The following is a 16,651-nucleotide window of genomic DNA, read 5'->3' as shown; positions in this document are numbered from 1 at the left end:
AGAGTGAGCTGCCGTGCGGTGAGCGTGAGCTGCGGTGCAAAGAGAGTGAGCTGCCGTGTGGTGAGAGTGAGCTGCCATGCGGTGAATGTGAGCTGCCATGCAGTGAGAGTGAGCTGCCGTGTGGTGAGAGTGAGCTGCCGTGTGGTGAGTGTGAGCTGCCGTGCGGTGAGAGTGAGCTGCCGTGCGGTGAGTGTGAGCTGCGGTGCAGAGAGAGTGAGCTTACTCAAACAATGCTGAGTGACAGCGGGCAGGCACAAAGACTACACCCTGCGTGACTCCACGCATCCAAGCACAAAACTGGGCAGGAAAGCGGCCACTGCTGGGGAAGGGAGGAGCTAAGAGGGGCGCCGAGGGGGCTCATGGGGCTGCTTGATTTGGGTGTGATTACACGAGTATGTGCAGCTTGAAACATTCACCAAGCTGTATGTGTATGATGTGTACACTTTTCTATATGTAAGTTACACCTCCAATAAGATTAAAAACAAAAGGAACCTAGTGTGTGGTCCACGTCAGTTATCCCCGGCTTGTCCTGACACCCCAACATGGTGAAATCATTCCCAAATGCAGAATATTGATTCTAGTTGTTTAGCATAGATAGAGTAAAATCCTTGAAAAGAAACTTGGCAAAGATACCTGGCACAGAAACCTAAGTATTCGTTTAGAAAGAGCACACATGCAAATAGAAACTGCATTATTTTATATAAGAGCAGATTATTCTGATCTCTTAAAAGTACCGAGTGAAGCCACGCTCAGAGTACAGAAAGGCCAGTTTCCCGAAGGTTTCCAAATATCTGTTTGCGGCAACAGGCCCAGAGCTCTTCGGAAAAGCGCAGGCACTCTGAAAGCAGCTCTGGCAGGCTGAGGGTGGACAGCTGGCGTCTGTGAAGGTTTGCCACTCTGCAGGAGACCCTGTCATTGCCCCCCAAGGTTTGTGGTCCAGCAGGAAGGGAGGGAAGGCCTTTGTCTAGAAGCCCAGTGTTGATGCCAAGCACATGACGGGGAGCTGGCTTCCGCCTCACGGTGTAAAATGCGGGGCGGTCTGCAATGCCCTTGAAAATACCCCATGAATACAAAGATGGGGTAGAAGTAAGTGGTGGGCATGGGGTGCTCACTGTAAATTTCTTCCAACTTTGCTGTAGGTTTGAAAATTTTCACAATCAAATGTTACCAAAAAAATCAAGCAATAATGGGAGGGTAACAGAAGATTATAAAAAAGAAAGCCCTCTTAAAAGGCCGTTTTCCCAGTCATCCCACCCGTGGGACATGTCAAAATCATCTGAGGAGTTAAAACACCCCACACAGGCACATCACACACACCTCATGCACACCCACTCACGCGTACACACGCACGCACGCAGGCACACCCAGGCTCCCGACTGCATGTGTTAAAAGCTTCCCTGACGGCTGTGGTGTGCACTGAAAGTTAAAAGTCTGTGCAGTGGACGGAACCTTCCTGACCATCGGTGCCCCTGCCCTGGGCTGGAGGGTGGCATCCTCACATCAGTGACAGCTGGCTCTGGGGCAGTGCCTGCACATGAATTCCCAAGGGCCCTGTGCTGGGCTCTGTCCAAAGCACTTTTCTTACATTAACTCCCTTTGTCCTTCCAGCACCCCTGGGGTTGGATACCACCATAATCCCTCCCTTAAATGAGGAGACGACCAAACTTGCCCTCGGTGGCAAAGCTAGGCTCTGTGGCTCTGGAGCCTGACACGGTGGTGTCTCAGGTGTGGCCCCAACGGGAGGCGGGGATGCTGGTCCCCTCCTGCCTCTGCCCAGGCTGCCGCCTCCCCCATCCCTGGCCTCCCCGTGTCTGCCGCGCCCTCTTGCCGATTGCTCCCTTGCATTCTGCACAGATGTGAGAGGCTCCTCTTTCCTCACGGGTTTCTGGAGGGCAGGGCCTCCGTCTTATTTATCTATTTTCAGACTTGGCGCCTCACGTAAGGCAAAAGCTCATTAAGAAACCACGAGGGGGTCCTAGGGAGCTGCCGCGAAGGCCCGGGGCCACCCTCACTTGCAGGTGCGGCGACTAAACCCAGGTTCCGCCGTAGGGTGGCTCAGCTCTCCAGCGCCCGTGCAGTGCGGCCGGGGGCAGAACGCCCTCCAGGGTTCAGCACCAAACCCCCCGTGGGTCACTGTCCCACAGGGCTGAGAGTCAGAGGCCTGGGGGAGATCCACAACGCGTCTGTGGTGAAAAGGCTAGAAAGTGTAACAGGATCACCACTCACAGGGAGTGAGTCCGCATTAAGAAAAGTAGATCTGTAATAGCAAAATTTTGAGATAGGACTGTTTTAAAAGTTGATTCTTTCAAAGTTTAACTTTAAACCCTGGTTGACTCGATGTTTTAAACTCTGGCAACTACATTTTTTCCAGGCAGGTGAACAAAATCTGACACCCGAGAGTCCTGGGCACCACCCCCAGTCTGGGGGCTTTGCAGTCCAGGTGCCCAGAGAAGTGGCTGCCGCCGCGGATGCACAGGGTGCCCTTGGAGGGACTCACCCGAAACGCAGTGCCTTCCTCGATGATCGTCGGCAGCTGAGACAGACAGATGTCAACAGCCAGGTCCCAGGCTTGCCTGCGGAGAGAACAGAGGAAATCCACTGAGCATTATGGACGGGCTTCCACACGAGGCCACTTCACAGGGCACAGGAGGAGCCGGCTGAGCCTGGGCAGCAAGGGTCTGGGCGGAGGCCACGGCAGCTGGTGGGGGGCATGTTTACGGTTTCACTGCTGTTCAGATTTGGGCTGCAGAAGACGTCCGAGGGGAGGCCAGGAGAGAGTGCAGGCCGGGAACGCTGGCGCTGCCAGCATCCTCACCATTTTGTCACATTTTTTCTCTTTAAAATAAAATAAGAAAAAAAGCCTGGAAAAATAAAGGAATGCTTCCCATTTTCTGCTGTGGCTTCTGACTGTGACTTGAACCCATGTACTGGCAGCCCACGTGTTCTAAGCAGCTGTGGTCCCTGCGCAGGCTCTGATGGGGCAGCGTCCTGGAGGGACGCGGGAGAGACACCAGGGCCAGGCCCAAAGTGCCTCATCAGGAGGGGTCGGCATGCAGTCAGGGAAAGGAGTCCTGGCGGTCAGGGCTGAGCTCTGCGCTGTGATGGTGCCGTCAGGCCCCTCCCTGTCCCTCCCTTGCCTCCCCCCTGCTGCTCCCTGGTGTGGACAGCCACCTGCTCAGTCAGTTCCTGCTGCCTCCCTGTGGGTCTCACCAGGCACCCTGCAGTCTGGGGTCTCCTACCATGCATAGAGCTGCTCCCCCCAAGCCACAGTGGCTCCACAGATGACCCCGGTGATGTGCTTCCCCTGTCGAGACCCCTTGTCACAGTAACCGACCACACTGTCCCTCTTGAGTTCTCCCCCTTGGACATTATGAGGCTTTCTCCTCCGGCCTCCTTCCCGTCACGGTGAACGTGAGACAGCCTCCTCCCCGGGCTCCCGACCCCGTCCTTCAGGGCCGCACTGCTGCAGCTTCCACAGCCCTTTCCCTGCCTGCTCTCATCCTTGCTCAGGGCGCCCAATGCCACCTGCTCACCGACACCCCCAGACGCTATTTAAAATAGCCTCACACCTCTCCCCAGAGCTCCACACCCCAATTCTACTGTAGGAACAGCCGGCAGTCTGAATTGGACCTCACACCTCCAGGCCAGTTCCTGGGATTCCCAGGTGTAGGCAACAGCCTTATGGGGCACCCCCAGCCACCATCGCCACTTTCCTGACATGGCCTTGTCAGAGCCTCGGTGTTGTCCTAACAGCCCCCTCCCAATGGGCCCCTCTGCCGGCACCTCCCTCCAGGCCAGCTGCCCTGTGAGCTTTCTCGGAGGCTCTAACACAGCCCCCCTAAGCCTTTCTGTGGCTCTGGCCTTCTCGTGGTACCCCAGGCCTGGCACACCCCAGCACCTCTGACATCTCTAGCCCTGTGGCAGAGGGACAGCAGCTGCCTCTGACCGACCCCTGCTTTGTGTCAGCTGCTCTACAAGGACACTGTGAGGGAGACATGATCATGAGACTGTTTCACCCTAGAGAGACAGCCACGCGCCCAAGGCCGCAGAGCCACACGCTGAATTACAGACATCCTGCAGGTGCCCTGGCATCCAGCCGTACCCAACTTCTTTCCCAGTGCCAGGCACATAGCAGGCTTTCAATATGCATTGGCTAAATGAGAGTGAGGGCGAGCAGGAAAGCACCCTCTGTGCATGAGCAGCCCCGTGTGACTTTCGAGAAGGAGAGAGGGAAGAAAAGATCTGACCGGGAGCCATGAGCCTGGGCTCTGCTCCCAGCTCTGCTACCCACTAGCTCCGGCCCAGGGAGCGGCTGACCTGCCTGCCTCGCTGCCTCGCCCGGAGGATGAGGGCCTGACCAGGGAGCCCGTGTGGGAGGCTGCTTGGTGAAATTCAGCGTGTGGCTCTGGGGCTCTGGGCGCGTGGCTCTCTCTCTAGGATCCGTTTCACCATCTGTGAAATGGGCTTATGATCATGCCTCCCTCACAGCGTCCTCGTAGAGCGGCTGACACAAAGCAGGGGTCAGTCGGAGGCAGCTGCTGTGGCCCCGCCACAACATCCAACATGAACTCTCAACTGGAAGTGAATCATCACCTCGCTCTCAGCACAGCCACAGAACACAGTCTTGATCTCCGCGGATACAGGTTGAGTATCTCTTCTCTAAAATGCCTGGGACCGGAAGTGTTTTGGGTTTCCGATATTTTCAGGTTTTGGAATATTTGCATATACATAATGAGATATCAGGGGATGGGACCCAAGTCTAAGAGTAAACTCCATGTATGTTTCATATACCTCTTACACACACAGCCTGAAGCGAATTTTACACAATTTTGTGCATGAAACAAAGTTTGCGCCCGCAAGGTCGGGAGGGGAACTGTCCACCTGTGGCAGCGTGGTGGCCCTCACAGAGTTTCGGATTTTGGAACATTTTGGATTTTTGAATTAGGGACACTCAACCTTCGTCGTAGGGATGGAGGAAGGACAGCAATCCCTTCAGCCCTACTCTCCCTTTCTGCTAGAAATATGTTCCTTGTGGAAACCGAGTGATGATCAGTATACTGGATTCTGCTTCTAGCACTGCGCTCTCTTCTCCTGGGTAATTTTCTAAGAGACTCGAGGACTCTGTGTTATTTTTTAGGTTAATGACACTCCGTGCTGCCGTGTCAAAGGGCATATTTTCTCAATGTCTTAGTAAAGGACCAAAATGAGAATGAAAAATGTTAAAATCCAGAAAAAAAAGTAAAAGTTTAAGATGAACAAAGGGACTAAAGAGCAATTTTTCACTTTCAAATATATGAAATATATTTCAATTTTCCCAAGACTGGCCCTCTTTGCACAAACATGCCCTTCCCCTGCCAACAGAGTTAAGAAGCAATCAGGAGATAATCAAAAGGCCTCAAAGTACGTGCAATAAATAGCTCCCATATGCCCAGTAAATCCCCAGCTGCAGGCAAATGGTATTCAGCAGCATTGAGGGAGATTTTACTCTTTGTTAAGACAGAAGCAAAGTCAATTATTGCAATTAAACTCTATAAAGATTCCTCGAATTTAATCAAATAAAAAGTTTCTGCTTCAGGAGTTAGAAGAAAGTGTGTGCAAGTTAGGGGAGGTGGAGGCGAGAGGAGGGCAGAGAGGGTGTCCGGGCCGTGGGCCGAGCAGACCAGCGTGGCACCTGGTGTGGCCTCGGTCAGTGCTGGGCAAGGCGCCTTTGGAACCATGCCTCCCGGAAAGCCTATTCGCACGTTCTCCAAGGCCCTCGCTTGGTGTTGAAGGCCTGAACTGCACTGGAGACATCGCTCAGCACACCGGACAGGATGCCGCCCAGCAAAGCTGTGTCAGAGCCACGGGTGACAATCTCTCTCGGACACGTGACCCATGTTGCTGCAGTGGGACATGTGCTCCTAAAAGGCTGGGGGCCCACTTGGATCCAGCCCCGGGGTGGGAGGCGGGGACTGACCCAGCTCCACATTTCAGACCAGAAAAGCAGCCCCAGATGGTTCTGGTTTCACTGATGCACAGAGGCTCAGGAGGCTGCGGGGATGACACAAAGCCCAGGAGGAAGGGCTGTGGCTCGGCGCCCAGACGATGCACGGAGGCTGCTCGGGGCCGTCCGGCTACCCAGGGCTGTGGACTCGAGGCAGAGCTGTCTACATGAGAGGAGGAAAATAACTTTGTTCAAGTACTAATGAGAAGAAAGGATGTAAAAGAACGCCTACAAACCGCTGAAAGACAAGCGCTGGAACCCGATTATCAGCACACAGTGAAGCGGCCCTGAACCTCAAGCCACAGCTCGGCCTGGGCCCGAAGGACAGCCCCACTCAGAGCAAGGCAGGGAAGACGGAGGTACTGGGAGGAGCTTGCACCCTGGCACCGCCTGCTGAGCAAGCCAGAGGCCCTCTCGGGGCCGTGGGTGGTTTATTTATTTATTTATTTAACCAAATTACAGGGCCAGATTACCCATTAAATTCTAAAATCGCATGGCAACCTTTTGTTTTGTTTTGTTTTTTGAGACGGAGTCTCACTCTGTCACCTATGCTGGAGCGCAGTGGTGCGATCTTGGCTCACTGCAACCTCCGCCTCCCGGGTTCAAGTGATTCTCCTGCCTCGGTCTCCTGAGTAGCTGGGATTACAGGAATGTGCCACACGCCTGGCTAATTTTTGTATTTTTAGTAGAGACGGGGTTTCACCATGTTGGTCAGGCGGGTCTCGAACTCCTGACCTCAGGTGATCTGCCTGCCGTGGCCTCCCAAAGTGCTGGGATTACAGGCGTGAGCCATTGCACCCGGCCTGCACGGCAACCTTTTAAACAGCAGAACAACGGTATTCTCTAATGAACATTTATCTGTTGATTAAAACTGGCTGCATTTTCTACGGTAAAATCAACACACACTTGCAGCTCTAATTTGGGATTCCCAGCTAAAGACAAGTGGGAAAGTGGGTCCTACGTACACACGAGAGGCCATGGTGGTGGGCTTCGGCGGCAGCAGCCAGCCCTGTGAGGTTTGGCAGCACACGACAGCAGAAGGTGGGAGGGGACCGGGAAGGTGTCTGGATTAGCACTTCCCACAGCCTGCGATCAAGCTGCCTGGAGAAGCAGGGCTGGAGTGCTGGAGTGCAGATCTGAGGGGAGGAGGCTGTGATTAGCTGTGACCAGCTCATCTGCATCGTGGGCTCCTCCCCCCCAGCAGCTGGGGGCAGAGGGACTTTCTAAGCTGTTGGCTGTTCTGATGAGTCACTCGCCTGGAAAACATGTCATCCAGGCAAGAGCTGGGTTTTCAGGAAACAGCCCTGAGATGGCGGGTGCCCAGGAGGTGGGCTGGAGGAAAACCGTCCAAGTCCAAGTCCGCACAGCCTCCATCTGCGCTGATCAGTCAGAGCGCGCCCGCCCCGGGAACGGAAAGCACGGGTTATTACCGCAGAGAAACGCAGGGTTTCAGGACCCCTGAAATTGAAAGTGAAGGAGAATGACTCCCCGGTGACTTTGCATCAAACATTAAACAGAAAGCCGGCTCTGAGTATTCATTACTGCCGCGGCCTGAAGCAAAGTGTAAATGCAGATGACTTCATGTTTTAACCTCAATGTTTGTTAGGCTTTGTTCCCTCTTTCCTCTTGCTAAAAATTCAACCTCTCCATCACCACCCAAGGAGTATAATAGCTAGATTGTACATTATTTATTCCAAATGCTCTTTTCTGCTATCTTTCCTGTGTGCTCCCTGGGGATGTACACACTTTGGTCTATTGATGAGGGGAGGAGAGAGCTCTGGGCATTGTTTTCGTGGCAGACAGCCCTGCAGAGCCCCCGGTGATGCTCCCATGGTGAGGAGCCCACCTCCACAGCAGCTCAGTCCTCAGTTGCAGTTGGCAAAATCTAGTAACAGAGGAGAGCACGATTCTGTTTCTGAGCCGAATGTTCTCCGTCTGAGCGTCTGAAACCACTCCTCACTCCTTTGTGCCTCCCTCCCTGCCCTTGTTAAGGAACAGCATTGGAGCTGGGACATGCCACTCAAGGTGGAGGCCACATTCCCTCCCTCCCTGGATGAGGCTGGACCAGACACTGCCACAGGACAGGGGGGCGATGGGCATGTGAGCTCCAAGTCTGTCCCCCAGGCCTGAGCTGCCTCGTCCACTCCTCGCGGCCTTCCCACCTGCGGGAATGTTGCTCCAGTGGCCAGCACGAGCTTCCACGGGGGATGGAAGCCTCCAAGACAGGAGCCGCCTGCACCCTGACACCTGGGGCCACGGCAGCCTATGCTGCCTATGCTCACACATGCCCATTTGTAAAGCCCCTGGATCACGGGTTCCCAATGAATGGGTGTTTCAACTAGTACACCTAACTACCTCCAGGGAGAAAGGCAAACCATTCAATGGAGTTTTTCCACACTAACCCAGCCGGTGTCTCAAGAGCGGTGTTGGCTGCATGCCCTCCGTATCCACCTGGCTCAAGCCCTTATAGCCAGGCACCAACATCTTCCTCATCTCTGGCTCAGCATAAAGGCCCTCCACAATCAAGACCAGTACCAAGTCTGTGTGGTTACGCCTCCCTAAATCTGCAACATGGTAACATGGTGGAATGGACTGGCTTCTTGTTAAATTTTACTGTGTGCACAGTGATACACAGGGATACACGGTGACATACAGGCACACACAGGGATACACAGTGACACACAGGGATACATGGTGACACACAGGGATACACGGTGACACACAGGGATACACAGTGACACACAGGGATACATAGTGATACACAGGGATACACAGTGACACAGTGACACACAGGGATACACAGTGACACACAGGGATACATAGTGATACACAAGGATACACAGGGAGATGCTGCTGCCCTCTGTGGAAGTTCACTGTCATCAGAGATCTGACATCTCTGCCTCCAGAGCCTCGGCGGGATTCCGATGGACAGTGATAAAGTCATGCATGAAATTCATCACGAGCAGCAAGGACTGCTCATATCTAAGAAGGCCTGGGGTTTCCCAGTCTTCCAGAAGCCTCCCTCCTGTGTCCAGACTAGTAAACTCACTCGTGTTAAGGACGTGGTGAGAGTGTCTAAGAGTTAGAATTAGACTTCGAATGTTAACACGCCTAGGACAGAGTGGAGGTAAAATTCTGCAATAACGGACTCCACAGAATCAAATGCCTTATTGGAGGGGGATTTTCTCAGGGTGACATGGACTGAGGAATCGTCTCAGCCTCCGTGGGGAATGGAGAGGAGGCAGTGCTGGGGCCTGGTCTCTGGGCAGTGCAAGGGCAAGTACATGCCTTTCTGAAACCCGGGAAGGACGTGGAGCTAGTGCAAGCCAAACCTCTGTGCTTGCCTCTCCTCCCTCCTAAGCACCTTAATTGTGTAGCGCATTTGGGAAAACACACATCGGAACAACACACGGCTGCTATGGAATCTCCGCTGGGAAGCAAAGAGCTGCTTTAAAATGATGTTCCCTATTGGGCGCGGTGGCACACACCTGTTAATTCCAGCACTTTGGGAGGCCAAGGTGGGAGGATTGTCTGAGCTCAGGAGTTCAAGACCAGCCTGAGCAACCTGGTGAAACCTCATCTCTACAAAAAATACAAAACAATTAGCTGGGCGTGTGCCTGTAGTCCCAGCTACTTGGGGGTCTGACGTGAGAGGATTGCTTGACCCTGGGAGGTTGAGGCTGCAGTGAGCCAAGATCACACCACTGCACTCCAGCCTGGGTGACAGAGCGAGACCCCGCCTCCGAAAAAAAAAAAAAAGATGAAAATGATGCTCCCCATCATGGGAAGCCTCTGCCATTCCTGAGGAGCAGTGCACCTGCGATCTCACCTCAACTACCAAACTCCTTTCGAAGCCACTGGAGCAGCGCACCTGCGGTCTCACCTCAACTACCAAACTCCTTTCGAAGCCACTGGACAGCAGCGGCCCGTGCAAGATGGCCCAGCGCGGGGGCACCGTGGGGCGCAGCAGCCCGACGCCGTGAGAAGGCCGTGCGTGAGTGGCTTTGGCAGAGCACCTGGAAAGGGCCTTTTACAAACTGTCAGCACTCAGAATTGGGGGGTGGTCTACTACCGTTAAAGTCATTCCGATAAATTTTCTGCACACATAGTGAACTGATACAGACTGAGAAACCCCCATTTTTTGACATAATGTTTTGGTGGCAGTGAGAGGAGAGGAAATGAGAGAACTGGGTGGAGCTGGAGTTGGGGCGGGGCGGGGTCGGAACTGGTCAGTGGCCAAGGTGGCAAGTCCACCTCAGTCAGGTTTGTTCTCTGGAAACTGAGGCCAGTGGAGCTGCCCTGACTCCAGGAAACCAGGAAGATGCCACAGAACAGAGAAGCCAGCGGGGAGAATCTGTGTACACCTATAGCGTGGGACCTGCTGTCCCGGCTCCTGACCAGCCAGACCACATTTCCAGTCTTTCTTCTCCTACGAGGATCTAGGATCTTCTCCAAATCTAAAGCCCAATTTTTACATTCAATTCCCTATCAAAGTTGGCTCATGATATAATTTTCAGCATTAAATGGAACTGACTCGTGTTTACTTTTTAGCTCTAGATTCACGCTGGCATCCTTGTTGCTGAAAACCTACCCCAGAGAACATGTGTAAAATGCAAGTGATTCTCCCTGAATTCACATCATCATTGATTTCTGTACAAAGAACCCTTTAATATTACTTATTTGGCACTTCCCAGCATAGAAAGACAAGAAGACACGATGTCAGACCTTGCAGAAAATATCCCTAACTAGAGAGGACCCTTGGACACGCACAGGAGGGGCTGAGGAAGAAGAGTGGGGGAAGCATCCTGAGACTCGGCCACAAGTCGCCGTGGACGCCGCCCTCTCCATGCACGCGGCACTGCCATGTCTACGGGCCGCCCCCCATGCTGGGAGCCGAGGCACCGAGGGCTTCACTGAAGCCTCTGTCCCTAGGGGTTCATGGCCCAGCTTGGAACAGGCAGGCTACAGGCCGCTGTCTGGTTGGATGTGTCGGGTTGGATGTGTCTGGTTGGGCTCGCAGAATGTTTTTTAATGCCACGTTAGATATCAACATCTAATAATCAGATAATTAAAAATGAAAATATGAACTTTTGGCTACTCTATGACTGGCAACTGTGGGCCAAAACCGCCCCGCAGAGCCCCGGTTGGACTGAGCACAGCCCGGGCGCTGCCCTACCCATGCCCGCGCCCTCCTGGACACCAGCCCCGTCTTTCTGCTGTCTGAAAGCCCCCACGCCTGCCTCTTAGGCCACTCTACCAGTCATGATTCTCCTCATGTAAAGAAGTATGTAATGATTTCTTCTGTGTGTCTCTAGTTCTGAATTTATGAACAATAATGCCTTAGCCATAAAGACTCTATTTTTAAAAATTGCTTTTAGTGCTTCGAAGGCTTAGAAAATCTACAGGCAGACTTTTAATTAACCAAAGTAATATCTATCAATTTTTAAAATGGAGAACCATCACTCCAATTGTACCACCCTGGCACAAGCATCATTAATGTTTATTTATAAATCTGTTTAGTGTTTTATTGCTGTGTGTACTATGTATTTTAACATAGATATTAACTATATTGCTGATGCAATTTGGTGTTCTGTTTCTCTCATTTAACATATATTTTGCATACTCATGAATAAAATTTTAAGACTGCTTACATTTTCTTTTAAGTATCCGTTCTGAATTTACGTTCCTATTCTGTTAGGTAGTAGAGTTATTCCCAAATTTTCCCTCTTATAACCAATGTTCTGACAAATGGCTTGATTTGTCCTTGTCTTTCAGAACATCCCATTAGTCCCGTTGCTTGGTTTTTCCTTAGCGACCTGCTTCAGCTATGCTCCTAAGCCAGGTCACATTGGTTGTGGGGCAAAGAGGCTGGGCATTCAAAGGCAGGGTGAGCACGGTGGGCAGGCAGGTGGGTGGCCACCGGGGCCAGCACTGTAAAGGCCGTAAAGCCAAGGCAGGGGTCGGGGTTAGGGGCCTCAGGTCAGTGAGGTCCCAACCAAGGGCAGGCCCAAGCCAGGCGGGTCTCGGCCAGGCATCGAAGCGTGGGAGTCACCAAGACGACTCGGATCCCAGGACAGGGCTGCTGACTCCCCAGCAGCTTCTCATGTCCAGCTGGAGGGAAAACCCCAGGGCTCTGTTCTGTAGGTGGGATGCAGCTGACTGCAAAATGCAAGGAATGCCACCTGCCACGGGTTTCTCATATGAGGCGCACATCCTTCCTGAGACCTCGCATGGTCTCAGGAGCATGCTCCCAGGAGCATGACTACAGCAGGTCGCTAAGTGCCACTCCCTGCTCGTCTCTGCCTGATCAGACTCGTTCAGACACCGGGGAAGCTTCCTCACGCTGACAACGATGCTGTGATCCGCCAGCACAGTGGCCATGTGTAACAAGAGGTGACAAGAGCTTTCCTCCCTGGTTAAACACCACTTCTGCCTGGGTGCACTCCTGTCCCAGGGATGCGCCTGAAACAGAAGCTCATGCACGTACATCCCATGACTCAGCACGTACGCCGCTAAGTCAGCATGGGGCAGGCTGGCACTAGACGGCTAGAGCCACAGCCTGGCCCTACCATGCAGGTCCTCACACACCCCAGTTTCTCATCAGTAAAATGGGCATATTGATAGTAAAAATCGTAGCTTTGCGGCAGTACCTGCTGTGAGGGGGAGATGGCCTAACAATTGTAAAGCCCAACACGCAGCAGGCGCTTAATCAGTCAGTCACTGGAATTCCTATTCTTACATGACCACCTGTGGTCACCCGCCGCGACTGGTGTGCCTCAGGGGAGCTGTGGTCAGATTGCTCCCTGGGCTCTGCGACTTTACTCTCACCCTCTCCAAACCCCAGCACAGTTCACCAGCTGAGGTGGACAGGCTTGAACGTGGCCCCAGGACCCCTGTCCCAGGTGTGGCCCCTCCCTGGGGGTGCAGGTGGGACCTGAGACTGCTTTCAACCAGCAGAATATGGCAACGGTGATGGCTGCTGTGACTGTGTGTGGCACTAGGTGAGGATGCAGCACCCGGCTCCTGCGCTGGCTCTGAGTGGTGGGAGGCCAAGCTAAGGACCCCACTGGTGGGGACGGCGGGTGGTCTCAACTGCGAAGGCAGCCTTAACCTGATGGGACCCTGCACAGAGAACCTGGCTGAGCCCCACAACAGGAACTGGATCTGGAGGCCACGTGCTGTTCTGAGCTGCCAAGTCTGCAGCGACACTGCTGTCACACAGGATTAGATGGCTAGTGCCCTCCCTAGTGCTGTTTCCACCTTCAAATTCTATTTCCCACAAGTGGCGCTGGAGGAACTCCTATTACTAAGCAGAGGGAGACGCGTCCACCAGAAGGGCCATGACTGGTCTGTAATCTGTGAATGAGGTTTTCTTCTTTCAGCACAAATCAGCTTCAATTTGGCACAGCTGCCCCCTGGGTGTTCACATTCACTGCTTTGCCAGGAAGCCTGGAGCCCGAGCCTGGTGTGAGTCACTCCTGCTCGCCTCTTCCTTCCCGCGGGCCGAGCGGCTGACTAAAGCTCCCTTCATGCTCACGTCAGTCGCCAGGGCAGTACGCAGATGCGTGCCCAGGTGTGAGTTTAAAAAAGAAAAAGGAAAAAAATTCAAGCGCATAATGTTTCTTCTGCCGGTTGAAGGTGAAACCCCAAAGCCACCCAGGCCATCGGCAACAGCAGGGCGAGTTCTAGCTGTGTGGCTGGTGGAGCCCACAGGTGTGCCCAGTGGCCAGCGGTGACGGCACGGGGGCCCACCCTGTGCACCCCACTGGAGGAGCCCTGCCCTTCACCACTCCTGGCCTGGTTCTTCTTCAGTCTTCATCCCTGATGTCCGTCAAACCCAACCATGGGGACACAGTGACACCCGGCAGAAGGGTGCCAGGGACCAGGAGGAGGCCAGGGCGGTGCTTCCCTGCCCCAGCCTAGCAATTAAGGGCATCGCCGCTGTGATTCTACATGAACACAGTTCACTCCGCTGTACCTGGGCTGGGCCGGAGGCCCTGGCTGCTGGCAGTGGCTGCACCAGTGACCGCTACAGTGGCCGGGTGCCGCTGGCTGCTCTCTTCTAGTCCAGACCTGCGGTTACTGCCACAGGCCTCAGCAGGGCCTGGTGACGAGCTCTGCACAGCCGGCCGGGAAGTGTCACTTTCCCGGATGAGGAGAGGAAACATGTTTCTTGCAAATGGGCTGTGCGCTTGTGGAAGAGCTCCTCTGCACTGCGCTTCCTCCGCTCCCAAGGGCCCCATCAAAATGGGGCTGGGGTAACAGCAGCCCCAGGTAAGGCAGGTGAGATTTTCTCTTACAGCAAGACACTGTGAGGGAGGGGCCGGGATCCCCTTCAGGATCAAGGTTTTCTTGCCCCAGCTGCTGGGGGCACCACAGGCAGGTGGCTCACGGCTGTCAGGCCCTCTTCTGGGTGGCCTATGTCTGACAACCAACGCAGAATGCAGGCAGGCCCACTCACCTCCCATCCCATCCTCAGAGCTCCCCAGGGCCGGCGGAGGTGAGCCTGACTTCTCTCCGCCCACCCCTCCACCGCTGACCCAGGGCTGCTCCACTCACGAGCAGTGTCATGACACCAGCCTCCGTCTCCGTCTACTTCCCAGACAGCCCACCCTGCAACAACCAGGAGAAGAACGCGCCCGAAAGGGAAGCGGGAGGACACGACACCGCAGGCTGCTTGTGGTGGGATGATGGACCATGCGGGCTGGATCACTAAAGGCGCACATTAGCCCAAGCGGAGCCTCTGACACACTCAGGGAGGTCAGAACCAGGAGAGGAGAAAAGCCGGAGTGTCCACAGTGACCGTCAGGAAGAGGGGCTGCGAGGCACCCTTGTGATGCTGTCCCCAGGCTCTCTGGGCCTCTGTGGATTGCGACATCACCTCATGATTCTCTAGTGCAACCGATAAGCACAGGTGAGGGCTGGCTCTGTGAGGCTCCAGGGAGCAGAGTCTGCAGAATAGCTGGCCTTTTTTCTGGGCAGGGAAGGGCAGCCCCAGCAACGCTGGGAGAGGCTGCAGCTAGGCCTAGACAAGGACCTTCTATAAAGCAGCACTGATATAAATGCTGGCACTCAGAAAACTTCTGAGGGGCCAGTCCTAGAAAGCAGTCTCTAGACAGAGATGTGGGATGTGGCTGCCCTGTGCCAACCTCGCCACGCGGCCTCTAGATGGAGAGGTGGGATGTGGCTGCCCTGTGCCGAACTCGCCACGCGGCCTCTGGAGGGAGAGGTGGGATGTGGCTGCCCCACGCTGGCCTCGCCACGCGGCCTCTAGATGGAGAGGTGGGATGTGGCTGCCCCACGCTGGCCTCGCCACGCGGCCTCTAGATGGAGAGGTGGGATGTGGCTGCCCCATACTGGCCTCGCCACGTGGCCTCTAGAGAGAGAGGTGGGATGTGGCTGCCCCACGCTGACCTCGCCACGTGGCCTCTAGATGGAGAGGTGGGATGTGGCTGCCCCATACTGGCCTCGCCACGCGGCCTCTAGATGGAGAGGTGGGATGTGGCTGCCCCACGCTGGCCTCGCCACGCGGCCTCTAGATGGAGAGGTGGGATGTGGCTGCCCCACGCCGGCCTTGCCACATGCCCCTCCCTGCACCTGTCCTCGCCTGCTCATCCCTCCTGGCTCCTCTCTGTGCTCTGGCTCTGGTCTTTGACCACGGACTCCAATGTGATGTCACTGTCTTTAACTCTGCGCAGCTGAGCACATCAGATAGGAGGTGCTTTTACATCTGGAGAAAACATACGCTAGAAGGAAAAAGGTTTCCATGGACTGATTCCTGGTAAGGGAACCTGCAAGTCTGGAGGCCCTGCCCACCCCGCTCCGAGTGCTCAACCGGCTCCCAGTGCTGAACTAGTTTTTGATCCAGGATCTGATGTGGCACTGACCCCTTCAGCTTTTTTTTTCTTTTTCCTTCCTCTTTTAAAATAAATGTATTACAATAACCTGTCTTAGAGGAAATAGAGACAGGATTTAAGGCCTTACTTTTCTTAAAGGAATAAGGCCATTTTGAGAATATACTCTTTCAAAAATGCTCTAAGTATTTATTTTTAAAAAATGTTCATTTTAAATATTTATTCTAAGTATTGCAAAGGCTTTTCAAACACCTGTCTCTTTTACAGCTCTGTTATTCATGGATTCGTGAAAAATAAATGTGCGGTGGTTTTATTTACACATTATTTAAATGGTTTACTTCAATTTCCTTTTCTCCTTATCAGGGTTCTCTATTTTATCTTACAGAGTCTTAAGAAGGATACAGATCATGCATGCTTTAACTTTTGCTGTTTAAAGTCCAAGTGCTATGCTGGGTATAATGTATTTTGATCTATCGCATATAAATATTTATTATAAACATTAAAAATTAGATTATTTCTAACTTTTCTGGAGTGGGTGATGGGTAGTGAGTTTAGATTCCTTCTTGCTTCTCTGGGTTTCCAGGGTTGAGGGAAAGTGGTCCTGTACACGTTTAAAAAGAAAACACAAAACACTAGCTAAAATAAACCTGGCCATGAAAATACGCCACATGATGGCTTCTGCGGCTAGGCATACGTTAATCGCTCTTTTAAAAATATTTGTGTTGTTAGGGTTTCTCCCATTGATGAACAGAAATATTTTTCCTTTGTTTTAATACCATTTTAGAATTTGCCCAAACCTGCTTGTTAGGACAGC

At 53.4% G+C, this 16,651-nt stretch overlaps 1 protein-coding gene and 1 long non-coding RNA gene across 3 annotated transcripts in view, besides 7 other annotated features; one reads left to right on the top strand and one right to left on the bottom strand.

The window, feature by feature from the left end:
• The window catches only part of RPTOR (regulatory associated protein of MTOR complex 1), a 421,531-nt gene that overhangs the window by 125,874 nt on the left and 279,006 nt on the right, over window positions 1–16,651 (bottom strand). For both annotated transcript variants that reach the window (NM_020761.3, NM_001163034.2), the window contains exon 10: window positions 2,498–2,573. In NM_020761.3, coding sequence (NP_065812.1) covers window positions 2,498–2,573 — 76 coding nt within the window. The remainder of the gene's footprint in view (window positions 1–2,497; window positions 2,574–16,651) is intronic.
• Window positions 5,560–6,331: an enhancer, noted in NCBI's record as "H3K27ac-H3K4me1 hESC enhancer chr17:78807964-78808735 (GRCh37/hg19 assembly coordinates)". NCBI's record gives its function as "activates a minimal SCP1, AML or CMV promoter by ChIP-STARR-seq in naive H9 embryonic stem cells {active_cell/tissue: H9 hESC(naive)}" and the evidence as "EXISTENCE:reporter gene assay evidence [ECO:0000049][PMID:30033119]".
• Window positions 7,056–7,272: a silencer, noted in NCBI's record as "fragment chr17:78807023-78807239 (GRCh37/hg19 assembly coordinates)". NCBI's record gives its function as "represses an EF-1alpha promoter that drives an FKBP-Casp9 reporter gene in an ReSE screen in HepG2 liver carcinoma cells {active_cell/tissue: HepG2}" and the evidence as "EXISTENCE:reporter gene assay evidence [ECO:0000049][PMID:32094911]".
• Window positions 7,056–7,410: a biological region, named in NCBI's record as "ReSE screen-validated silencer GRCh37_chr17:78807023-78807239".
• Window positions 7,101–7,410: an enhancer, noted in NCBI's record as "active region_12945". NCBI's record gives its function as "activates an Ori minimal core promoter by ATAC-STARR-seq in GM12878 lymphoblastoid cells {active_cell/tissue: GM12878}" and the evidence as "EXISTENCE:reporter gene assay evidence [ECO:0000049][PMID:35858748]".
• Window positions 7,877–8,649: an enhancer, noted in NCBI's record as "H3K27ac-H3K4me1 hESC enhancer chr17:78805646-78806418 (GRCh37/hg19 assembly coordinates)". NCBI's record gives its function as "activates a minimal SCP1, AML or CMV promoter by ChIP-STARR-seq in naive H9 embryonic stem cells {active_cell/tissue: H9 hESC(naive)}" and the evidence as "EXISTENCE:reporter gene assay evidence [ECO:0000049][PMID:30033119]".
• Window positions 11,855–12,544: an enhancer, noted in NCBI's record as "OCT4-NANOG-H3K27ac-H3K4me1 hESC enhancer chr17:78801751-78802440 (GRCh37/hg19 assembly coordinates)". NCBI's record gives its function as "activates a minimal SCP1, AML or CMV promoter by ChIP-STARR-seq in naive and primed H9 embryonic stem cells {active_cell/tissue: H9 hESC(naive and primed)}" and the evidence as "EXISTENCE:reporter gene assay evidence [ECO:0000049][PMID:30033119]".
• Window positions 12,545–13,235: an enhancer, noted in NCBI's record as "OCT4-NANOG-H3K27ac-H3K4me1 hESC enhancer chr17:78801060-78801750 (GRCh37/hg19 assembly coordinates)". NCBI's record gives its function as "activates a minimal SCP1, AML or CMV promoter by ChIP-STARR-seq in naive and primed H9 embryonic stem cells {active_cell/tissue: H9 hESC(naive and primed)}" and the evidence as "EXISTENCE:reporter gene assay evidence [ECO:0000049][PMID:30033119]".
• LOC124904076 (uncharacterized) lies at window positions 13,595–16,161 on the top strand. The gene is made up of 2 exons (XR_007065933.1): window positions 13,595–14,257; window positions 14,587–16,161. It is a non-coding gene; the product is annotated as an uncharacterized LOC124904076 (long non-coding RNA).

The sequence above is a fragment of the Homo sapiens genome, chromosome 17, assembly GCF_000001405.40.
Source record: "Homo sapiens chromosome 17, GRCh38.p14 Primary Assembly".
Classification (NCBI taxonomy): domain Eukaryota; kingdom Metazoa; phylum Chordata; class Mammalia; order Primates; family Hominidae; genus Homo; species Homo sapiens.
The sequence above is the reverse complement of the archived record's forward strand: the minus strand, read 5'-3'. Positions and strand labels throughout refer to the sequence as shown.